The 26,791-nt window shown below is 36.8% G+C and overlaps 1 protein-coding gene across 4 annotated transcripts in view; it reads right to left on the bottom strand.

The window, feature by feature from the left end:
- DOK5 (docking protein 5) overlaps nucleotides 1–26,791 on the bottom strand; it is a 175,577-nt gene that overhangs the window by 58,863 nt on the left and 89,923 nt on the right. For all 4 annotated transcript variants that reach the window (NM_018431.5, NM_177959.3, XM_011528904.2 and 1 more), the window contains exons 3-5: nucleotides 3,710–3,824; nucleotides 3,501–3,620; nucleotides 502–691 (exon numbers count right to left, since the gene is read on the bottom strand). In NM_018431.5, the coding sequence (NP_060901.2) occupies nucleotides 502–691; nucleotides 3,501–3,620; nucleotides 3,710–3,824 (425 nt within the window). The remainder of the gene's footprint in view (nucleotides 1–501; nucleotides 692–3,500; nucleotides 3,621–3,709; nucleotides 3,825–26,791) is intronic.

Here is a 26,791-nt window from a genome sequence, read left to right as displayed (position 1 = left end):
TCAGTATTCATGAGAATCCTTACACTGTAAGCCAAATAGATGGAACTCAAGAAATTGCAGCTGGTAAAAACTCCATGGGCCCTCATATTAATAATCTACCACAGTTAGCTCAGATGAGGAAACATATGTGAAATAATAATATGGAAGTTTTCCAAAATCAAGAAGCTGGCCTCTGTTCAGCTTGACCCAGGAAATGGTACCTTTTTAACATTTTTACCTGGATCAACTTCAGTTTGTGATATGGAATCAAACTGTGTAATGAAAATTTGTACCATGTGTGTGAAACATTAAAATCTTCCACAGGGGAGAAAAGCCATGTTGAGTATATAAATATTTCACAAGACCCCTCATATTATGTAATCGCAACTCTATGAATTTCCTCAAGTGTACTTCAGCTGGATCTCATATGTAAACCTACCGCCTCATATGATGCGAGCATGGTAAAAATGAACACACACACACACAAACAGAAAAATAGTCATTAAAAGTCATTAAACTCACCTCCCTGCCTCAAAAGTGAACCACGTAGTATCACGTCCATACCGCCGCAGGGCGCTTAGCGGCCAAGAGATGAGTTTGACTCTGGGATTCTGGACGTCCCAAAGACAGATATACTCATATGTAATCTGCAAGGCACATTCGCCATGTACATCTAAGTTAGGAGATGGCATCAAATACACATTGAATCTCTCTGGGAGAAAAACAAAAGGTTAGTCTAAAATCCCCAGGAATAAAACATCAAAGACATTGTAGGAACATAGAGGCATTTAAAAACAATTCAAGTTCACATTCTAGATTTCGGTTGCATATTCAGAAAGATAAACCTTTCCTATTAATTAACAGTCCCAGAAAATAATTTCTTAAATGCAGATCCTATTAAATAACATAATAATGATACAGCCTGTCAACATACACTAAGCACTATTTACATGAGCGAAGACCATTTTTAGAATTTTTAAATTTGCATAATAAAAATGTATATGCCAATAAAAGACTAAAGCAATACAACCATTAAAAGCAATTTTTTTTTCCTGCCAAGAACACATTAACTAGATCCACACTTTTGTGCTCACAAAAGATGCAGGTGCAAAACAATTATGTCATGGTTCCATGTTATTAAAGTTATATTGATCAACTTGTAATTTCTATAACTAAATGAATAAAACTGTATTTCAATCATTTAAACAAAATGCCACAGTAATACTATGCACTTAACTGGCCAACAATTTGGGAAAATGCCAATGCATATATTTGAACTAGTTTCAACAAAGAACTTCCTTTAGCCAAATAGTGGAAAGAAATATTCATTGCATATTTGGATGATTGCTAAAATGCAACCAAAATTATTCTACATAAACTGCTTGGCTGATTAACCTAATTTTCATCCCTGCAGATACAGTCACCATATTTCTGTTATATTTCTGGAAAATTCATTAAGAAGTTTTTGAGTCAAAGTCTTTCAGTGAAAAATGAACAAAAATATTACTATAGCAAACATATTTCCACCTATGCATCATTATGGTAGATTGCCTACATACGACAATGTGGCATTAACAATTTTATATTAGTGGTATTCTAAATACATTGTTTTATGATAAGATAGTCATTTGAATTTTCATAGATTTTAGTTGAATTTAGTAAATAGTAATGCTGAGATAGTGTTCATGAAATGTGTTCCGCGATCTACTATTCAAAAATTTTTAATTATTTCATATTCTCAATAAACAAATATTTGTTGATTTCTAGTAATCATATTTAAAAATGTATTCTAATTGAGCATATTCCCCCCCCTTGAAAGTTCCAAGTAAGAAAGACTGTCTATATTAAGTAAAAAGTAAGAGAGATCATTATCAATCTATTTGCTTAGAAGTTCTCTGAGTCCTACCTCACTCAAGAATAACAATAGGGGAGAGATAGGGAAAAAATAATAATAAAAATTTAAAAAGAGTAATAGCAATAATGGTGGAGTGACCATTTTAATTACAATCATTTGAAGTCATACTAATTAACATTGGAAAGGGCCTGAGAGGACACAGTTGAATTTATAATAATCCCTGATACTTGTAGACCAGAGCTATTATTTCCATTTAACAGAAGAGGAAACTGAGGCACAGAAAGCTGCTGTGGGAAAGGTATCTCCTACGCACCGCCAATTTTTAAATTCAGATTGTGGTGCTGTCAGGATACTGCTTCCCCAAATACAAATTTGTGAAAAGTGCTGATCTGAGCACTCTAGGTGAAAAAATGAATCATAATCAAAACCTGCCAGGTTTTCTTTATGCTTGGCTCCTAGGTATCCTCTCTGCCTGGGGTGTCCTGATTTAGTGAACCAGAGAAGGAGGAGCCTGGGGATTGGTTGTGTAACCCCGTCAATGACTTAACCTCTCTGTAGCTCAATTTTCCAATCTACAAAGAGGCTCCTCTGAATTACCCAGGGCTTCTAGGTCTCGGTCAATAACATTTCCATGGAGATGGGTTATGGCAGATATGGTGCATCCAAAGAGTCACAGATTGTAAATGTGTCATGAAGACATAGTTCCAATTGGGAGGGACAGCATTTTTTTTACTAACATTGGAGTGTGCACCTACAGAAAAAGTCAGTACAATTCCATCTCTGCCATGTCCGTAATCAAACCAGATGACCCACAGACCTTTCCATGGTGACATGCCCTCATAGATCAAGTCAGCCTACAGCAGAACTCTGTGATCTGATCTACCCCGTCCCCAGGCTCAGCTGTTAGGAGACAAAGGAATGATTCCTCACATCCAGGTTTGTTCTGTAAATCAACACTGATTTTTGCTGAAGTGTTCATGAATATTTTAGTCATTATTATTTTAAATTATTGATTCCCAGATTGACTGCTGAGCTCAGAGTTGGCTCAAGTGTTTCAATAAAATATGTATTTTTTTAATTACAGATTTTAGATGGGTTTAAATTTGGTGAAATAGTCATAAAGTTTGAATTATATTGAAAACATTGGAAAGTTGTTGATAACATTTTAAGTGAAAAAGGCATGACCAAAAAATGCCCATGACATTTTAAAATCTGTAAACTGTAATATAGGTCCAACGGTATCGTCTAGAATCAAACACTAGTGAGCTAACAGAATTGAAGGAAAGTCTTTACGTCCTCTAAATTTTAGTTTCCTCATCTGCAAAACGTAGGAAGTAATTATACCTACACCATAGGGCTGCTATGAAAAGTACAATAAATAATCTGAGATGAGTTAAGCATCTTCCACCAAACTGGCACATAGCAGGTTCCCCAAAATTTCTAACTGATATTATTAATGTAGATACATTCATGTTATGAATTGGAAAAAGAATAAGAAAAAAATACACTGAAATGTTAACACAGGTTGTGGATTAGATAAAAGATTACTTATTTCTTTATACATTTTTATACCCCAAAAACTTTACATAATGAAGATGTCTTATGTTTTATCATATGGAGACAGAAGCAGTTTTGAAAGAGAGAGGAGAGAATTTTCTTTACATACCACTCTGTTCTCTCTCAACCCCAGTGGCCAGTAAGTCAGGCTCTCCAAGGCTGATGTCATTGATCCGTGTTCCTACACACTCCATCTGGAGTACTTTGCACCACTCATCAGCCTCAAGATCTGTGGAAATGTCAAAAAGATTAAACTGTGTGCCCAGCATCCATTCAGAATCTAAAAGCAAAAGCCCCCCAGCCCTGCCTGAGACAAACCTGATTCGCAAGCAAAAGTCTTGGAGGTATCGTCATTGAAATAAATCCCTATGGCATGTTTCTTGGTGCTTTTTGGCAATCGAGCTACGTTCTTCACATTATTGAGTTCTGTAACCTGAAAATGAACAATTAGAAGTTTGACACACTCCCTGAATGAATGTCTCCAGTATACAACACCAAAGGTGAGGCCCGGAAATCAGTATGGCACAGCACAGCTGAGCACAACCTGTTGAAAAAGTATCTACATCTGAAAGCTAAGATGTATTTAAGTGAGTTTAGTATTATCTGTAACACACCGCAAGGATGGTTAACAAATTATCTTTCCTTATTAAATTTTCTGAAACGTATTAAGTGGAACAAGCTTAAAACTTCACAGAGGTAGAACATTTTGGTTTTTCTTTTTTCTTTAGTTTTTCAAATCCTCCCAAAGACTCCACTTGACCAATAGTTCTTATGTCTGTTTCGGTCTCTGTGGACAGCCTTCTTTCTCAGCTGGCTGCAAAAGCCTCCAAATATTCCATCCCTTCAGAGTATTCCCCATGTAAGTGTCTTAAATACATCAACCCAAGGAAGGGAAGGGAAGGAAGAGTGGTCCAATTCATAACTAGATTATTTCACTCTTTACCAGTCAGAGATACAGCGTCAAGAGTCTCAGAAACGACCCCTGACTTGAGGTCCAAATCATAGAAAGTACATAATGAATTTGGTTTTCCAAATATTTTCCCACTGTCTCTAACTTACTCCTAGCTCCTCAGTGGTTACAGGGCCTCTGTTTTAGGCTCTGAGAACACTACCCAGTGGCGCCTTCTTCCTAGCAGGGAGGAAAGCCATCCCCACTAGACGTTCTCTCTCTCCTCCCTCTCTCCCATAATTCCTTGGCTCCTTTAACACTTTTGTAAACCCCTCCCTTCCCACAAAGTGTCTTGGCTCATTATATTTCCACAGTGGTCATCTCTCATCCAGTTACATCCGCATCCTCAGCTGCATTGGAGGTTTGGAATATTTGGGTCATGCCTGAGCGAAGCCTTAGGTGGCTTCAGGGTAAGTATTTACAAGATCAATAGCTTTTCACACTGACAAGTTTAACCTCCCTTTCATATATCTCTTTTGTGCTGTTATACAAAAGAATCCACTTTCCATCAATCTTTGCCTGCAATGATGTTGTTCCGTTTCTCTCGTCTGTTACTCTAAATTCAATAAATGCTTAGCTCAAGCAGTAGGTGGGAAGTGAAATAAATATCCTCCATGCACAACACTAATCTGATTATTTCATTTCTCTGCTTCTTAATCTCCATCAGCCCTTTTCATAGTATAAATGCAAATTTCTTAGCATGAAATGTCACACCACTTCTCCTCAAAAAGTGCCCAAACCGATCACGTCAGTGACTCAGCACCATGTATCTTATTCTCCAACTACACCAAGTGCCTCAGGACTCACCAGATACAACTGTTGATGTGTTTGTTTATTTTTATTTTTTGCCACTACCCCAATTCAAGCCACTATCATCTTGTCACAACTACTTATTGATCTTTCCACTTCCATTTTAATCCCCATTAATGCATGCTGCACATAGCAGATTTTTTTTTCAAAACATAAGTCTTGAAATATTACTGTGCATAAACAGAACACTTCAGTGACTTCCCATTGCACGTGGGACAAAAGCCTGCATCCTTAGAATGACCACCAAGACCCCCTGTGGTCTTGCCCACGCTATCTCACCACTGTCCTCTCTATACCTTTCCCATGTGCTCTATGTCTCAGCCACCGTGGACTTTGTTCAGTTCCCAGAAGACACTGTGGTTCTCCTGGCACAGGGCCTTCTCTATCTCTCCTTACCTCACTCCCATTCCCACATGGGTCTCAGTTTAAATCTCAGTTACCCACAGAGGCCCCACTGGACACCTCCCATCCTAACACCTAGTCAGTCTCAAGGCTACACCATCCAATGATGTCCTATACCTTTCCTATTTGTTATTGGTTTCACACCCATCTTGCCTGAAAAGTGAGAGTTACATAGGGCAGGAATAGTTTTTGTTTTGTTTTGTTTTTGCTCTGCTCATCATTGTGCTCCCTGAGTCAAACACAGAACCCCTCACATATTGAGAACTCAATAATTATAAGTGGACTATATGAATGAAAGACCCAACTCACCCATAAATTTACTTGTATGGTGCTTCTAGAAGGCAAATGCCTCTCTTTCCTGCTTCTTTTCTCCAGGGAAATTTCACTTTTCCCCCAAGGTCCACTTCCTCTAGGAAATGTGCCCTGGCCTTAGTGTCAACTAACATTTCTCTTCTCTCTATTCTCATAAATGCTGCATGAAGCTCTACTGTATTATTTGTTGTCTCTCTGCAGCACCCAGCTAGACTTGAGTTGCCAGCAATGACTTACTGAAGGGCTGAATCAATGAAAACAATCATACTGATGCCAACATGCATTGGTCCCCACACATATGCCACATAACGTGCCTAGTTTATTGTTGTTGTTTGAGATGGAGTCTTTCTCTGTTGCCCACGCTGATCTCAGCTCACTGCAACCTCCACCTCCCAGGTTCAAGCGATTCTCCTGCTTCAGCCTCCCGAGTAGCTGGAATTACAGGCGCCCACCACCACACTCAGCTAATTTTTTTGTATTTTTAGTAGAGACAGGGTTTCACCATTTTGGCCAGGCTGGTCTCAAACTCCTGACCTCAGGTGATCTGCCCGCCTCAGCCTCCCAAAGTGCTGGGATTATAGGCGTGAGCCACTGCACCCGGCCAGCATTTTTATAGAGACTATCTCATTTGATCTTCATAAAAGCTCTGTGAAATAAATATTACTATTATCACCTTTTTCACAGATGAGGAAACTAGACTGCGAAAGGTTAAAGTCATACAACCAAGTTCACAGCTTAAAAAATGAAGCAAACTAACCCTAAAGCCTGTGCTTTTAATGCATCTGAAACACTAATGACTAACTAAACACTTTCAACCAGAGGCTCTTTAGCCCCTGAAAGCCACCTCTCATTTTAAGACTTCTTTCTTTTCAACATGGTTAAAAATTGAGGTGGAGGTAGAGCACGTGTGCCAACTTTATTCTGACTCTCTAGTGAGACATTATGTAAGAGTAGTCCACCCCAGCCTGAAACACAGCAATGACTTTGAAACATGTGACTTCATTACCTATCCATTAAGGGCAAAGAGGAAGAGATAGTCACCTGAAATAGTCAGGAAATGTAGGGGGAATTGTATGAGTCAGAACACAATTACCCATTTAGGAAATTGGTTTAGGAAATCAGCAACTGAACACCCCCGCTCAGGAGAAGCAAATGACCATTCCCAGAGCAGCCAGGGTCATAATTTTATGGGTCAAAGGACAATCAAATTTTAAAGCAACGGTCTCTGTCTCTACCTCAGAACTACACCTAGTGGGCATGTGCACACACACACACAACACACACACATACACAACACACACAAGCCTTGCAATCTACACTAATTCATAATGTGATAATGGAAACTTCCTCAATACACATGCTAAAGTATAGTAATAATTTAGTAATTTAGTAATAAAGTAAAGTAATACTTATGATAACTAAATTTTGCAGAGATATTTACAAGTCACATAAAACTTTTCAAAGATGTATTTATTTCCACTATCATTCTATTTTGCAAATGAGAAAACCAAGGCAAGACATAATAGTCCTCTTACAAAGAAATCTGCCTTATAAGAAATGCTAAAGGAAGTTCTTCAAGTTGAAATGAAAGGACACCAGATAGTAACATGAAAGCAAATGAAAATATATAATTTACTGGAAAAGGTGTGTGTGTGTGTGTGTGTGTGTATATCTAGATATATATACACACACACATATTATAGTGTATATATATATACACACACACACGAGTACATATTATAGTACTATATATATATACACACACATACAAATATATATTATAGTATATATACATATATACAAACACACAAATACATATTATAGTACTATAACATTACATTACATGTAATGTTACGAATATTGTATAAACAGCTTTTAATTTTGATATAGAAGTAAAAAGATAAAAGTATAAAAACTATAAAATTATGTTAATGGATACATAATAAAAAGATGAAATTTGTTACAATGATAACATAAAGGAGTCTGGTGGAATAGTTCAGCTTTTGTATGTGATTGAAGTCAAGTTGTTATCATCTTAAAATAGATGATCATAACTATAAAATGTGTTATATAAGCCCCACAGCAACCAGAAAAGAAATACCTATAAGAGACACACAAAAGAAAATGAGGAAGGAATCAAAATATGACCCTAAAGAATTTTTTAAATCACAAATACGACAGCAAGAGAAAAAGATAAGGACAAAAGAGCTACAAGAAATACAGAAAACAATAAAATGATAAAAGTAATCATTTCCTATCAATATTTATTTATTTTTATTATTTATTTATTATTATTTTTTAAACAGAGGCTCACTCTGTCACCCAGGCTTGTGCACAGTGGTGTGATCTCAGCTAACCTCTGCCTCCTGGGTTCAAGCAATTCTCCTGCCTCAGCCTTCTGAGCAGCTGAGACTATAGGTGTGCACCACCGTGCTCGACTAATTTTTTTTTTTTTTTGTATTTTTAGTAGAGACAAGGTTTTGCCATGTTGGGACCTCAAGTGATCCACTCGCCTCAGCCTCCCAAAGTGCTAGGATTACAGGTATGAGCCACTATGCCTGGTGCAGTAATTACTTTAAATGGAGATAGCTTAAACTGCCCTATCAAAAGATAAATTAAAAACCAGGTCCAACGATATGCTGTCTACAAGAGACTCACTTTAGATTTAAGGACACACATAGGCTGAGAGTGAAAAAATGGAAAAAGATAACCCATAGAAACAGCAGTCAAAAGAAGAGTAGGGGTGGCAATACTTATATCAGATTAAATAGGCTTTAAGTCAAAAACTATCATGAGAGACAAAGAAGGACACTATAATGAAAAAAAGATGAATTAACTAGTAAGATATAGCAATTATAATATATATGTATCCCATACCAGAGCAACCAAATATATGAAGTAAACATTGATTGATAGAATTGAAGAGAGAAAGAGAAAGCAACACAATAATAGTAGGAGATTTCAATACCCCACTTTCAATAATGGATAGGACATCCAAAGATTATATAAGAAAGAAAACAGAGTGCTTGAACAACACTGAAGACCAATTAAACTTAACGGACAAATACAGTCAATAGCAGCAGAATACACTTTCTTATTAAGTGCACATAGGATAGATCATGTGTTAGGTAACAAAACAAGTCTTGACAAATTGAAGTATCTTTCCTTACCACAATAGAATAAAACTAAAAAATAATAACAGAATTAAGTATCTTTCCCAACCACCACGGAATAAAACTAAAAAACAATAACAGAAGGAAAACTGAAAAAAAATCACAGTATGTGGAAATTAAACAGCACAATCTTAAACAACCAATAGATCAAAGAAGGAATCAAAAGGGAATTTGGAAAATACCCTGAGCTGAATGAAAACAAATACACAGCATACCGAAATTTGTGTGAGGTAGCAAAAGCAATACTAAAAAAGAAGATTATAATGGTAAATTCCTACATTAAAAAAGAAGAGATACCTCAAGTAAACAACCTAAATTTACACCCCAAGGAACTAGAAACAGAGCAAACTATGCCCAAAATAATAAGAAGAAAGGAAATAATAAAAATTAGATTAGAACTAAATGAAATGGAGAATAGAAAAGCACTAGGAAAAACCAGTGAAACCAAGAATTGGTTTTTGAAAGATCAATGAAACTGACAAATAGCTAGGTTAAGGAAAATAAGTGGAGTCTAATCAGAAATGAAAGGAGATACTACTTCTGATGCCACAGAAATGAAAAGGATTATGAGACTACCATGAATGATGATACACCAAGAAAAAGTCAACAGCTTGGATAACCTAGAAGAGGTAGATAAATTTCTGGAAACATACAACCTACGTAGACTGAATCATGAAGAAATAGAAACTTGGAACAAACCTGTAACTATTAAGGGATTCAATAATTAATCATAAATCTTCCAACAAAGAAATACACATGATCAGATGGCTTTTTGTGTATTTCTTTGTTGGAAGAAATGTTGGTGTATTCCACAAAACATTTAAAGAAGAATTAATGCAAATTCTTCTCAACCTCTTCAAAAAAACTGAAGAGGAAGGAACGCTTCCAAATTCATTCTGTGAGACCAACATTACTGTGATACCAAAGCCAGATATAGACACTACAAGAAAAGAAAAATACTGGCCAATATCACTGATGAATATACATGCAAATTTCTCAATAAAATACTAGCAAACTGAATTCAGCAGCATATTAAATGGATAATATATCATGATCTAGTGGGGTTTATCTCTCAGATACAAGGGTTCTACATAGCAAGATGGATACACCACATTAACAGAAGAAAGGATGAAAAGTATATCATCACCTCAACAGATGCAGAAAAGGCATTTGACAAATTTCAATACATTTCATGATAAAAACACTCAACAAAATGGGAGTAGAAAAAAATTACTTCAACATGATGAAGACCATATACTCAATGGTGAAAAATGAAAACATTTTTTTTTCCTAAGATCAGGAGCAAGTCAAAAGGTGCCAACTATCACCACATTTATTCAACAAGGTAATAGAATTCCTAGCTAGAGCAATTAGACAAGAAAGAGAAGTAAAAGGCATCAATATCTGAAGAGAAGAAGTAAAATTATCTCCATTTGTTGATGACATAATTTTATATGTAGAAAACCCTAAAGATTCTATCTACACACAAAAAAAGTTAGAACAAATAAACAAATTCAGTAAAATGGCACGATACAAAATCAACATAAAAAATCAGTTGTATTTCTATACACTAACAATAAACAATCCCAAAAGAAAATTAAGAAAATTATCTCACTTACTATTGCATCAAAAAACCCAAAATATTTAGGAATAAATATAACCAAGTGGATGAAATATTTGTACACTGAAAACTAGAAAACACTGAAGAAATTCATTTTAAAAGACACAGATAAATTGAAAGGCATCCTGTTTTCATAGATTGAAAGACTTAACATTGTTAAAATTAACATTGTTAAAAAAAAGACTTAACATACAATCTAAAATGATCTACAGATTCAATGTAATCTCTATCAAAATCCCAGGAGCTTTTTTTTTTTTCAGAAATAGGAAAAGCAAAGCTAAAATTCATATGAAAACACAAAGAACCTTATATAGTCAAAACAATCAACATAAAAGAACAAAGCCAGAGTTGCTTCAAAATATACTACAAAGCTACAATAATCTAAATAATATGGTACTGGCACATAGGCAAACATACAGACACATGGAACAGAAAGAGAACCTGGAAATAAATTGATGCTTATACAATAAAATGGTCTTTCACAAGGGTGCCAAGTTTATACAACAGGAAAATGATAGGCTTTTCAACAAATGATGCTACAAAATCTGTATATCCATATGAAAAATAATGAAATTGTACCCTTACTTCACCATAAACAAAAAATCAATTCAAAATGGATTAGAGACTTAAATGTAAGACCTGAAACTATAAAACTCCTAGAATAAAACAGAGGGAAAAGGCTTTATGACAGTGGTCTTGACAGTGATTTCTTGGATATGAGACCAAAAACACAGGCAATGAAAGCAAAAATAGACAAGTAGGACTACATCAAACTAAAAAGTTTATACATAGAAAAGAAACAATCAACAGAGTGAAAAGGCAACCTATAGCATGAGAAAAATATCTGCAAACCATATCCTTGATAAAGGGTTAATAGCCAAAATATATAAGAAATTCGTATAACTCAATAGCAAAAATAATAAAAGTAAAAATAAATAAGCCAATTTTAAAATGGGCAAATGTCTATTCAAAGATAGACATTTCTCCACAGAAGACATACACTGACCAATGGATATATCAGAAGATTCTCAACATCACTAATCATCAGAAAAAGGCAAATGAAAACCATAACCACATCCTCCTATCTCTTAGGATGGCTATTATCAGAAAAAAACAACCCCACAGACCTAAAAGATAACAAGTGTTAGCAAGGATGTGGAGACATTGGAAACTTTGTGTGCTCTCGATGGGAATGTAAAAAGGTGCAGCCACTTAGGGAAAGAGTGTGGAGGTTCCTCAAAAAATTAGAAACAGAACTACTATATGATTCAGTAATCCTACTTCTGAGTATTTATTCAAAAAAATTGAAAACAAGGTCTTGAAGAGATCTTTTCACTTCCATGTTTATGGCAGCATTATTTACAATAGTCAAAACAGGGAAATAACCTAATTATCCATTGACAGATAAATGGATAAAGAAAATGTGGTGTCTCTTCATATTCTTTGCCCACTTTTTGATGGGGTTGCTTGTTTTTTTCTTGTAAAGTTGTGTGTGGAACATATACACCATGCAATATTATGCAGCCATAAAAAAGGATGAGTTCATGTCTTTTGAAGGGACATGGATGAAGCTGGAAACCATTATTCTCAGCAAACTGTCACAAGAAAGAAAACCAAACACCGCATGTTCTCACTCCTAAGTGGGAGGTGAACAAGGCTAACACATGGACACAGGGAGGGGAACATCACACACCAGGGCCTGTCGGGGGATGGAGGGCTAGGGGAGGGATAGCATTAGGAGAAATACCTAAGGTAGGTGACAGGTTGATGGGTGCAGCCAACCACCACACCACGTGTATACTATGTAACAAAACTGCACATTCTGCACATGTACCCCAGAACTTAAAGTATATATATATAAAAAAAGAAAATGTATACATATACCATATACTATTATCCCACCCTAAAAAAGAAGGAAATTCTGTCATATGCTCCAACACGGATGAACCTTGAAAACATTATGCTATGTGAAGACAATCACGAAAGGACAAATACTGCATGGTTACCACTTATATGAGGTTATCTAAAGTAGCTGAACTCATAGAAACAGAAAATAGGATGGTGGTTTCCAGGGACTGCAGGGAGAGGGGAATGGGAGGTTGCTGTTTAACGAATATAGAATTCTAGTCACACGTGATTTAAAAAAGCCCTAGAGATCTGCTATAAAACAATGTACATGTAATTAACAATACTGCACTGTACACTTAAGAGTTTGTTAAGTGGGTAAGTCTTATGTTATGTGTTCTTTAACCACTGTGCCTCACCCCCTGCCAACACACACACACACACAAGCACACACACAACTTTTAGGCAGCAAAAGATACTCAGAATTTTAAAATATTATTTTCTATCCATTGTATTTTTTTATTAAGTTAATTTCTATTCATGGCAAGTGATACTGTTCTTGTATTAATGGTAATATGGTAATAAGAAAAGTTTTCTCTTATTGTAAATTTATTTAAACAAAAACCAACCTGATTTAAAACAAAATATTCGTAAGAGTAAAGATGATACTGATTATGGCAAAAAATAATAAATAAATGACAAATGCCTAAAAGTCAGGAAAGATACTGTTAATCTAATACTACTGCTATGAAATTGACTTTTCTTCATATAATTTCCTACTGAGTCAACAGTACAGCATACAAACAATAATGTCATATAATCACCCAGAACAAGTCTCATTTGCTTAGCAGAGGAATGACAATAGATTTTAACAGAAACTGGGTGATGATCTGATTCCCATTTGATATCTTAAAGACCACTCATCTCAATAGGGCCATTTGTTTTCCTTGTGCTTTTTTGCCCATTTCATGATTGTATTCCGCAAGCAACAAAGAAAATAAAGCATTTCAAGCTCCATGACTGAAACCTGAAATATGTCTGAGAATTATGATTTAAAGGACAAAATAGCTGTTGCAACGAAACAGGAGACACAATTATAAATTTTCTAAAGGAGATGCAATTATAAATTTTCATTACTAACAGAAAGAGTTTTGATAACAGAAAAGAAGAGAAGTCAAATTTTATTATTAAAAATGGTATGTAAATAGAGTTATTTATTTTTAGATATCCTTGCACACGATCTTTCTGCCAAAACAACAGCAGGCCAAGTTAGAAAATCAAAATAACTTCTGTGTATTTTCTGGGCTGTTACCTGCCTGGTTACTCCTTCAAATTAATCATTTGACTCTTCTCAATTCCTCAACTTTCTTTTCTTTTTTCAGGATATATTTAGGCTTAGGTTCCAGAGTTCTTTCTCTTGAAATGGAGCTAAAATTTGTAGCTATCAAAGAAGACCGGAAGTGTCTATACGGCTTACTAAAAATGTCAGTATTAGGACCTTTGAAATACTTGATTTTCTCAAAAAAATGGGTATTAAATTTCAAAATCCCAGCTTAATTCTATATTTAATCTGATTTTTGACATCCTGAAGTAATTTCTTACAGAAATTATCATAGGCTACCTCAGAATTCACAGCACATAGTGGTAAAAGATAATGAACTTTGGGAAGGTTTTTAATGCATGAAGTATACTTGTGATCCTGGAGGTTGGAAAAGATTCAGTAAAGATAAAGTTTGGCAAAAATGATTCTCTCCCTAGGATTTGGGGATATGTAAATCAAACCAAAGGCACATTCTGCAGCTCACAGCAACCTTCATTTTTTGTCCTAGATTGAGTTATCTATCAAGAATCATTCATTCCCTCTCAGCCCTTGCAACTGTTTCCTATGACTTTGGACTTGGCCATGCAACTTGCTTTGGCCAATACAGTGTGAGTTAATGTGCTTTAAGTGCATGTAATTAGGTCAGTCCCTCCCTCCTTGAGCTTCAACTCTCCACCATGAGAACAACATTGCCCTCCTTCCTGGATTTCTGAACACAGGTGAACCTCAGCTGAGTTGAGATGCATTCAGTACACTCACAGCCAATCAATCCAGACCCCTCATGTAACAAGAGTGAGAGATAAAGATGTGTTGCTGTAAACTGTTAAGATTTTGGAATTATTGCCACAGCAGACATTGGCTAATACACCCTCTGTTTGATTTCCTTTTGGCCAAGGATTTTCATAGAGTTTTCTCTCAAATCCCATTGTGTAACAATATTGCTTCTTGTATGAAGACCAGATTTCCTAGCCAAATTCCTAATAATCAGGAAACTGTACTAGAACATTGGCTATCAGTTTTATTTTAGCAGTTGAATCATTTTTTCTTTTTAATTTTCAAAGGAAATCTAACACACTGACCCATTATATGGATGCGGAGCTAGTATAAGGAAATAAAGAAATGAATTCCACTCGAATCCTCTTCCCAATAGTAACAATTATAAATCTACTTCTCAAGAAAGAAGCCTATTCACTTTAATCAAACACAGAATACTGAATGATTTTAAAGTGATACTAAATTCTCTGGATGATATAACATCCTTGGTAAACTATTATTAAACCCATTACAAGGATCAATAAAGTGAAAATCAAAGAAGTAACTTAATTATAATTTCATAGAAAGGAGGGGATGGAGCCATACTCAAATCTAGAACTTCCAGCTTCTAAAACAAGTATGTTTTTCCTAATACTACTCTCCACAGCAAGTGTTCCTTAAAAATCAAATAATAACATATGAATGAATCCCTGACAGGCTCAGTAAATGAGCAAATGAATAAAATTAAAGATGCAAATGGTCTTAGAGACAAATATGTTAAAGAATATTTCTGAAAATCATAAACTGCATCTTTAAAAGTACACCACTTGGAAATGCGAAAAAACGAATGCAAATCTTAATTTCTAAGTAAAAATAAAGTACTTGTCAATTCAAAAGAAGGCAGCCTGAACTAAACTCATCTTTCCTACTTGGACTTTAAGATGTGAAAGAAAACTCAGCTTCTCAAAACCACTTGGTTTTATGTGGGTACATATGGCACCATGGTTTAAAGCCCACGCAGGCTGCCACTCAAATGAAATTTAAGACACACAGCATAGGAATCGGCATGCCAGGTCCTGTGGCAAAGCACATATAGTAAAGAACAGAAATCTCAAGACCGCAGTTCAGTGAATCTTCACTCGTTACACAACTGTGTGGTAACCATATAGAGGAACATATAAAAAGAATTTCAGTCAATTCCACCCCTTCCTGGTCATTATGGCCCACATATAAAACTACCATTCTGACCTCTATCACCATTGATTATTCCTTCTTTTAAAAACTTTTTATATAAATAGAATATCATATTTTTGTGTGTGTGTCTGGATTCATTCGTCCAATATCATGTCTGTGAGATTCATCTTTGCAGTTGAAGATATAAGAAGTTTTGGCTTCTGAGCAGTAGTCTTCTATGTGAATGACCATTTTATTTATTTAAAATTTATTTTAAATTTTTATTTGCTTTCATCTTATATGTATCTCTTATAGAAACATATAACTGATTTTAAGAAATACGAAGTTGGATTATTATACTTTTATCCAATCTAAGGCATCGTCTTTTGATATAGATGTTAAATCAATTTAAACTAATTATTATGACTGACATTTTGGGAATATTTTCAGTCCTCTTTTATTCTTTCTAATTCTTTTCATGCTTCATTTTTTTAAAAGGTATTCTTTGTTTTCTGCCTCTGATCGTTTCTCCAGGAACTCTGTGTTCATGATTTTCTTTTCCAAAATTTTATTTTTAAGATTTTCAAATATGGAAAAACTAAAAGAATGATGCAACAAACACTAATGTATCCTCTACTTAGGATGAACAATTATTAAGATTCGCTACTTTTATTTTTGGATTTATCCTCTCTTTATATATAAATGTAATGAGTGTTCACATGCATGTGCATGTTCACACACGTGCACACACTTGCTTTTGGTTAAATGATTTGAAAGTAAATTATATAGTTTATCTGTACAACTCCAGCAAATATTTCTTACAAATAACACAGTTGGCCTGTAATCCCAGCACCTTGGGAGGCCAAGGTGGGTGGATCATTTGAGGTCAGGAGTCTGAGACCAGCCTGGCCAACATGGTGAAACCCCACCTCTACTAAAAATACAAAAATTAGCTAGGCATGGTGGCGGGTGCCTGTTGTCCCAGCTACTCAGGAGGCTGAGGCAGGATAATCACTTGAACCTGGGAAGTGGAGGTTGCAGTGAGCTGAGATGGCACCACTGCACTCCAGCCTGGGTGACAGAGCGAGACTCTGTCTCAAAAATGAAATAAAATAACAGGGTTGTCTCACATCACTTCAAAGCCATTTACACAACTAAGAAAATAGGCAATAGTTCCTCATATACTTAACTTCCATCCCATATCCAAAGTTCCCTGAAAGTCCCCAAAATGTTTTCTAAAGGTGTGTGTGCCCATGCCTGTCCACCATCACTCCAATCCAGAATCCCATGAGGATTCATGCCTTGAGTTTCTTTGTAACTCTGAGTCTCTTTAATTTAGAAAAGTCCATATTTTGTAAATGATTCCTGCCTGTTGAAAAGATCGTGTTAGTTTTCTTGCAGAATGTTCCGTGTTCTAGATCTGTCTGTTTTTCCACAGTGCCCTTAATTTTTCTATTCCCTGTGCTTCTTCTAAAATGGAAGTTACATTTAAAAGTTTGATGAGATTCAGATAAACATTTTTGTTAAGAATGCTTTATAAGTGATGTTGAGGACTTCACATGGCATCGCTTCATAAGGCAAAGAATGCCAGAAAATCCCTCCATGAATGAGGCTCAGCTTGATCACTTGGAGGTAGCTGCCATTTCTGTTTATAGTAAAATAGCAATTTTCCTAATTGTCATTAGAGCCAGGTGATGTTTTGGCATCACCTGACTATACTGTTTCCCAACCATTTCAGCAAACAGTCTTAGCATTCATCTAAGGCTTTCCTCTGCATCAAAATACTATTTTTTTAATCCCCCAATTTGTCCTCCTAAGCCCACATGTCTATGATTGCCAGGTTCAAGATAAACATTGACTGAGGACATTTTTCCTGTTTCTACTCCACAATGCTTTTCACTAATATAATCTGCAGAGATCCAGATTATTACTAGAGTCACTATTGCTATTCAATTTAATTTCAAAAATGTGTAACTACTGAATTTAGTCATATGAGCAAGTTCAACTCTTTAGAATTTACTCTGCCTGTTTAGCTCACATCAGTGCCCACCACATAGTCCTTGTACACACAGACATCCTCATCCTCAGCTTTTAACTCAGATGTGTCAATAGGTGAGCTGCTATACACACTCAGGTAGCTTCCTCAAGAAAGGAACAGTGGCATTAAAATGTCACATCATCGTCAGTCTCTTCATGGGTATCTCAGCAGAAATAGCCAGCTGGCTGTTATCACAACCACAAGTTCAAACTGTACTTATTAAGGATATGAAGAAAACCAAGCAGAGGTGGATACAGGTGTCTATCTAGTCCTATTGAGAAGGGATATGGGTGATGCTCTGCTTCTCAGGCCTTTTGGCGGCATTTGCATTCCATCATTAGCTGGGCCTTCAAAACCTCCCCAGGCAGCACAGCGTCCTTCCTTCAACAGAGACTTGCAGCAGATGGGGAAGGCGGTCCGGCTCGCCTTTCCTGGAGCAATGCAGGAAATGACAGAAGGCTACTTTGTCAGTGATGTGCTTTTTGGCTCCAGCATGTGATTATGTTGGATGGCACTGCCTGAAAAATCAGTCTGAACAAACTTTGATTCTCTCTTCTCAGGATATATTCCAACTGCATGTGTTCTTCCCACACGCTCTGAGTTCCTCTAAAAGAAATGGCTCTGTTTGCATAGTTGGAAGAATTAAAGCTGCACACTGAAGTTCTGCTTATCTAGTGGGCAGCTCTTTGGAACTTTCAGGAAGCTCCTATATACCTCTCTGCAAACATGGCCTTATTGTGATGCTAGAGGTCATTACGTGGAAGACACTCTACTGAAATGAAGTCAACGCACAACCAACGTTATTATCCTTTTTTTTTTTTTTTTTTTTTTTGAGATGGAGTCTCCCTCTATAACCCAGGCTGGAGTACAGTGGTGCAATCTTGGCTCACCGCAACCTCTGCCTCCCAGATTCAAGCGATTCTCCTGCCTCAGCCTCCCAAGTAGCTGGGAATACACGCATGTGCCACCACACCCAGCTAATTTTTTGTATTTTTAGTAGAGATGGGGTTTCACCATATTAGCCAGGATGGTCTTGATCTCTTGACCTCATGATCTGCCTGCCTCGGCCTCCCAAAGTGCTGGGATTACAGGCATGAGCCACCGCGCCTCGCCTAACTTTATTATCTTAAAAGCCCAGCTTTATTTTATCTTTAAAGCCCAACTGAAATCCATTTCATTTATGTGGTCTTTTTCTGTCACTCCCAACAAGCATTCTCCCTGCTCCGGGCTTTGCACTTGCTCTTCTTTTGCCTGGAAACACTTCCTCTAGCTACGCCATTGGCTCACTCTCACCCTACCATCAGTGACTTGCATATTACCCTCTCAATGAGACCATTCCTGATTATTCTGCTTAAAACTGCAACCCTCTCCTTCCATACTTCCTATCCTCTATTCCTGCTTTAATTTTCTCTTTGGCATTTATCAGTAACACCAATACTCTACATATTTTGCTTATATATATTCCTTTCTGCCTCCCTCTATTCCCCACTGCAGTAGGGTCAGGATTTCGTCTGCTGTGTTTGCCACCAAATCCACATTGCCAAAAACCATGCTTTATACAGGGTAGACCCTCAGTAGGTGCTTGTTAAAGTTCTACTTCCAGAGGTGAATATTGGCATCATCCACACTGTAAAAGCAAGAAGGCTGAGAGGCACAGTGATGTCATTAACACATCCATGGTTGGACCATTCCCAACTAGTGGCAGAGGCAGGCGAACTCCAGAGAATGATTATTTAGACCAAGTCTGCACAAGTGCAACAGAAGCATACAAAGGGAAAGATCTAATAATCTGATCTATATGGTTCCCAAAGGTCCCAAGACCTACAAAAAAAAGGGGGCTGCCTGCGTTGCTTGTGGGCCATTTGTAGAACCTTAAAAAAAAGATATTATGATAGCATAATAACAATAATAGCGGCAGTGGCTGACATTAATTTTTTTCTTAATTATATGCTAGGTATTACGTTCTGAACACCTCATATCAATCATGTCATTTAATTTTTTTTCCAATCTAACTGGCTGGCACTATTGTATTCCCATTGTACATATAAGAATGTTGCGGCCGGATGCGGTGGCTCACGCCTGTAATCCCAGCACTTTGAGAGGCCGAGGTGGGCTGATCACGAGGTCAGGAGATCGAGACCATCCTGGCTAACATGGTGAAACCCTGTCTCTACTAAAGAAATACAAAAAATTAGCCGGGCGTGGTGGCGAGTACCTGTAGTCCCAGCTACACGGGAGGCTGAGGCAGGAGAATGGCATGAACCTGGGAGGCAGAGCTTGCAGTGAGCCAAGATCGCGCCACTGCACTCCAGCCTGGGCAACAGAGCGAGACTCCGTCTCAAAAAAAAAAAAAAGAATGTTGCAACATAAAGAGGTTAATTTGTTCATACAGACGGTGAATAACTGAGACAGTAATTCAAACACAGAAAATTGAACAACTCTTTACTAAACCACCAAATGAATATAGAGAAAAAGGTCAGAGAGGCCATCATTTCTGAGTTAGGCCTCGTTAGTCCTAACATGGGTCTCGAAGGATGAGCACGGGTTTATGAGGCAAAGAAAACAAAGATGAGCTTCCAGGCAAAAGAAACTACACGTGTGCAATCATAAGACAACAGAGTTTGGTATGATGAAAACGTAGGGAAGAGTGATGGGAGGAAGTTGGCAACAGGAAACTGATGAGCATGAGGCTGGAGCAGACGGACCAGAGCTAGATCCTAAAGGGGCTGGTACGCTGCACTCAGGAGTTTAGGGTGAATCATAAGATCTGAAGAGTGCAAATTAAAAGGCTTAAGCAGGCAAATGGAACAGTCATATTTATGCTCTAGAAAGATGATTCCACAGGCCAGTGGTCCTCAGTCTGGGGAAGATTTTGCCCACCCCCCTTCCCCAGAGATACTTGGCAATGTCTGAAGATATTTTTGGCTGTCAGAATTGAGAAGATGTACTGGCATCTGGTTGGTCAAGGCCAAGGATGCTGCCAAAGGTCCTACAACGCACAGGACAGCCTCTCACAACCAAAATGTCAACAGTGCTGATGTTATATATAGTAAAAGTGGACAATGAACAAGGCAGCTGCCTCATACAACTATAAGAAGCACCACTCAAATGGAATCTCTCAGAATGGCACCTCCTGGATTTGAGCCTTGTCCAGCTGGCTTGGCCACACATGTTGACCTTTAACCATGAGAAGGATGGGAATGGGACCTGAGGGCAGGAGAGGAGGTCCTGAGAGCGAGGCAGACAAAACAGCAAAAAGCAATTAGGACTTTCACCTAGGTAAGAATAAAGAGGAATAAAAAAGCAGGGAGATATTTAAGAAATAGTTAATTACTATGCAGTTCTTGGTTTCTAGCTTTCTGAGTATCAAATACACAAAGTACTGTGATTCCAACAAAAGAAAGAAATACTCAACACTCTCCTAAATTACAGATAAATCTTTATGCCATCCAATTAAGAATTTCCAAAAATGGACTGCCAAATTAATTTTTCTGTTTAAAGCCATACTCCAGATGTCTTATTCATCATAAATGATAGTATTCATTGAAATAAATGTTTAACAGCCAACAATTAACAAAGTGGTCATACTTTAAATGTTTAATTTGCTACCGATATAGTTTTGCATTAACAACTTGGAAAACCATTGCAAATTACACAATTCAATTTTCCAAATGGATTATTTTGTAACTAGACGGGAAACTGTTGAAATTTCTTCTGCTGTTTCAAAAAGATTACTACAATGGGATTTTTAAAGGCACATTCCCTTCAGGAACTGGCATATTCCTGTCAGAATTATGCAATTAATCTGCATTTTGTGGGGATATCAACTATGTTTCTGACATGCTGCAAAGTCAAAAGCCATTTAAAAAAAAAAGGATCAGATTTCCAATTTTTCCCTTTCTTTTGCTGATGGTAATTTACAGATGATGATTTATTTATGTTTACCAAGTAAAAACAAGACTGCTACATAAAAGGTAATTTTCCGCCTTGCTTTGTAGGTTGTATCCTAATTATTTTTTCCCTTGTGGGACTGAATGAATTAAGTGAGCAATTCACTTTGTATATGCAAATTGCAAAGCTCTGCAGAAGCTTCAAATTGTTTCATTCTTAAAAAACAATTTAATTATCCTACCATTATCCTACCGAAAATAAAGAGGCACAAGCCCCTTTAACTTTTGTACGTTGTCTTCAAAAATAAAACTAACATGAAAACCATCCATTTCTGAGTCCACAATGTTTCTGAAGTGTTAGTAAATAACCCAATTAAATTATAACAATTATTTTTATACGATTATGTTTAAATGGCAGAGTACTCTAAAATACTCTAATAAGCATTTCTATTAGAAATTTCCAAAAGATGTTGTATAATGTGTTACAAAACTTTTAACCTTTTCATATTATCTTTTCTAAAAAAATACCAATGGCTTAAATATACAGTGCCAGTGAGCAGGGAGAAGCGAGCAAAGAGAAACATGCTCAGTTTTCATCAAAAATTTTATCCACAAGACATTTCATCCAAGCTCCTCCCAGGACCCTTGAACATAGCAGTTTAAGCAAACACTTTTATTAAAATTTTCTTAAGAAAGAACCAGTCTAGACAGTTATATTCCAGTCCCCATATACATGGTTTCATTCCTTCCAAAAATATCTACATGCCCTAGGTCACTTAAAATAGGGACTAGCGCCTGTCTGAGTTATAAATGTGGACGTCTCCTTGAAGAGTGGCTCTTTATTTGTCCATGTGAAATAACTAAAATAATCCATTTGTGCACCGTGCATTCTTTTAAAAATGCTTAAGTTGAGAAGTTTGCATCTGAAATTTACAGAGAGAATGGAATCTGACATGAGGGGGACTTTCATAAGCTGTCAGTGGGTGTATGATTTTATATAACCTTCTTAGAGACATCCTGGCAGTAACCAGAAAAAAACTTAAAGGTGCAGGCTATTACCTGATACCTCACTTCTAAGACTGTTTCGTCCACAAACATTAGTCTGAGCACATAAAAATAGATGCACACATTCTTTACTGTAATAGAATTGGTATTAGCAAAAACTGGAAACATTTTTGTCCACCAATTTGGGTATGCTTAAACAGATTATGGTGTATTGATATTAAACAGTACGCTAGAGCTGTTAAATTAAGGAGGTAGAGCCATTAATTACTGACTTAGAATTATAGTCAAAACATGAGGAAAAGGGGACTAGGGCAATTCGTGTGATCATATAATTTATCTCATTAACCACAATATTTTGAATATGAAAGGAACTGCCACTATAATTTACGCAAGAACCACAGGCTCACCAAATGTGTCCTACGGAAGCCTGAATTTATGAACTGCTTAAATATAATATGTATAATATGTAATGAATTACTCCATTTTACCTCTAAAACTAATTTATATGTGTGTGAGAATATGTTTCTGTGTGTGCAGACAGAGTAAAGAGTTTGAAAAATGCACATTAAACTATTAGCATTTTTTTCTGACGGCAGGGACTAGGGTCCAACATCAGAATTTTTTTTTTTTTTTTTTTTTTGCGTTTTAGTCCATACATTTCAGAAACGTTTATTTATTTATTTATTTATTTTGAGATAGAGTCTTGCTCTGTCGCCCAGGCTGGAGTGCAGTGGCGTGAACTCGGCTCACTGTAAGCTCCGCCTCCCGGGTTCACGGGCCATTCTCCTGCCTCAGCCTCCCGAGTAGCTGGGACTACAGGCGCCCGCCACCACACCCGGCTAATTTTTTGTATTTTTAGCAGAGACGGGGTTTCATCATGTTAGCCAGGATGGTCTCGATCTCCTTACCTCGTGATCCACCAGCCTCAGCCTCCAAAAGTGCTGGGATTACAGGCGTGAGCCACTGCGCCCAGCCAGAAACATTTATATTTGTTACAAAAAACATGCTTTTTTTAATAACTTAAAAAATAAGAAGTGTAAAGAGAAAAAATAAATCTGCAAAAAAATGTAAACCGATTAGTAGATTTCCATCTTTTGTCAATAGAATTTTTTGGGCATTGACTGCCTTGGCTAATAATAGCCTGTGATTTCTCCCAAACGGAAAAACTATCTGACAAACTTTTCACCAACTTGAGAAAACCCACCCTTTCCTTTTGGCATCATGTACAAAGAGATTATATGTGTACTTGGATTATGTTTAAGTGTTTATGCACATATGCATACAAATGTGAAACTGGATAGATTGTATCTTAGAGGTATACGCTATTAAGAAATTCATGTAAGAAACACATGAATGGAGGAAAAACATCTACAATCAATTCACTTCATAAGTAAAGTTTGGTTTTGTCTTGTTTTTCTTATGTCATTATGTGTATTGTGTGTTTCTTCAGAATATAACTAAGCTAACAAAAAACAAATAGTCCAATGACAGACTAAACAAATTAAACTTTTATAAACTGTTAAAAACCTGATGCTCTTCCCAAAATGCAAAGACAATTAATCATTTCTAAGATTAGTTAAATAATTGTGGGGTAGGAGAGAAAACTAGATGATTGTTTTGTCATATCATAGGCCAAAAATGACTGGCTTATACAAATTAGATACTCAATTTTAAAAACCTTAAAATTTAATACAAATTAAATGAAATAATCAGGTATAAATGTAATAAAACACATAGGATTTGAAGGCTGAACATTAGAAAATGCTGATGAAATAAATTTTAAAAAGCCTCTAACAAATGGAGAATCATACCATGTTCATGAATGGACTTAACATAGAAAAGATATCGGTTCTCCCACAATTTGCTCTATAGGCTTAACATAACTCTCAAAATCCCAACAAGGATTTTCTGTAGATATAGACAGGCTTATTTTTAAGTTTTATGGAAAGGCACAGCCACTAGATTAGCTAAAATAACTTTGAAAAAGAGAATAAAGTGAAATGAATCACTCTACCCAATATTAAAGATTACTATATAGCTACAGTAATCAAGAGAGTATGATATTGGCAGAGAAACAGATATACAGATCAATGGAAAAGAATAGAGAATCTAGGAACAGACTCACATAAATATGCCCAAATAATTTTTGACAAAGGTAAAAAAATCAATTCAATAAGGAAAGAATAATTTTTTTCAACAAATGATAGTGGAATAATTGGACAATCACAGGGAAAAGAATTAAATTCAATCCACATTTCACTCCTAATACAAAAATTAAACTCAAAATGAATCATATTTAAATGTAAAACTTAAAACTATACCTTTTTTCTTAAGAAAAAAACAAGAAAATCTTTAGGATTGAACTTCAGGCAAGGAGTTCTTAGACTTTACACCAAAAGCATGAACAATAAAGGTAAAAATTCAGAAATTGGGTCTCATCAAAATTAATACTTTTCTTCTGGAAAAGATCCTGTTAAGAGGGTGAAAGAAAAATCTATGCACTGGGAGAACATATTTTCCAGCACAATCTGACACATATATATACACACATACACGCACACACACAAACGCACACACTCCCAATACTCAATAGTAAAAAAAAAATAGAAAATAGGTCAAATACATAAAGAGACATTTCATAGAAGATATACAGAAGCATGTTCAACATCATTAGCCACCAGGGAATGCAAATTAAAACCACAGTGAAATGTCACTATTAGAATGACTAAAATAAATCCCAGTGCTTCGGGAGGCTGAGGAGGGAGGATCCCTTGAGGCCAGGAGTTCAAGTCCAGCCTGGGCAACACAGTGAGACCTCATCTCTACAAAGCATTAAAAAATTAGCCAAGCATGGTGGTGCATGCCTGTAGTCCTAGCTACTTGGTAGGCTGAAGTGAGAGGATCTCTTGAGGCCAGGCCTTCAAGGCCGCAGTGAACCCTAATCATACCACTGCACTCCAGCCTGGGTGACAGAGCAAGATCCTGTCTCAAAAAGAAAAGAATGACTAAAATAAAAATAGTGACACCACCAAATGCCAAATGCTGGTGAGAATGCAGAGAAACTGGATTACTCATATACTGCTCATGGGACTGTAAAATGGTAGAGTCCCTCTGGAACACAGTTGGACAGCTTTTTACAAAACTAAACGTGCAACTACCATATGACCCAGCAATTACTTTCTTCAGAATTTATCCCAGAAATGGAGAGGAGGGGGGACAACTTATGTTCATTCAACATGAACTTGAATATTCATACCAATTTTATTTGTAATGATGAGAAACTAAAAACGACCCAGATGTTCGTCAGTGGATGAATGTATGCAAACTCTGGGAATGTATACTATGGATTACTACTTAGCAGTAAAAGGGAATGGACTATTGCTATGCACAGCAACTTGGATAAGTCCCAAGGGAGTTATGTTGCGTGAAGAAGGCCAATCCCAAACGATTAAACATTCTTGAAAAGAAAAAAAAAACTGTAGAAATGGGAAACAAATTAGTGCCTGCTGGGGTGGTGGGGTGGGAGGACTGGAGGATGTGATTATGAAAGGGCAACACAAAAAGTCCTCTTGCTGATGGAAATGTTCAGGGTTTTTTTTTTTTTTTTGAGACGGAATCTCGCTCTGTCACCAGGCTGGAGTGCAGTGACGTGATCTCCACTCACTGCAGCCTCTGCCTCCCGGGTTCAAGTGATTCTCCTGCCTCAGCCTTCTGAGTAGCTGGGACTACAGGCACACACCACCACGCCCGGCTAATTTTTTTGTATTTTTTAGTAGAGACATGGTTTCACCCTGTTGGCCAGGATGATCTCCTGACCTCGTGATCCGCCTGCCTCGGCCTCCCAAAGTGCCGGGATTACAGGCCTGAGCCACTGCGCCCGACCATGTTCAGTATCTTAATGTGGTGATGGATACAAGAACCTACAGGTGACAACATGCACACAATAAGTTTCTTGGAGCTTAAGGTATACTAGCAGTAAACAAATATACATGTAGATTATGTTTTCTTAAGAGACAATGTTAGAGAGACTATGTTGAGACTATGCTGCTCAGGCTGCTCTCAAACTCCTGGGCTCAAGTGATCCTCCCACCTCAGCCTCCCAAAATAC

The sequence above is a fragment of the Homo sapiens genome, chromosome 20 (genome assembly GCF_000001405.40).
Source record: "Homo sapiens chromosome 20, GRCh38.p14 Primary Assembly".
Taxonomy (NCBI): domain Eukaryota; kingdom Metazoa; phylum Chordata; class Mammalia; order Primates; family Hominidae; genus Homo; species Homo sapiens.
The sequence above is the reverse complement of the archived record's forward strand: the minus strand, read 5'-3'. Positions and strand labels throughout refer to the sequence as shown.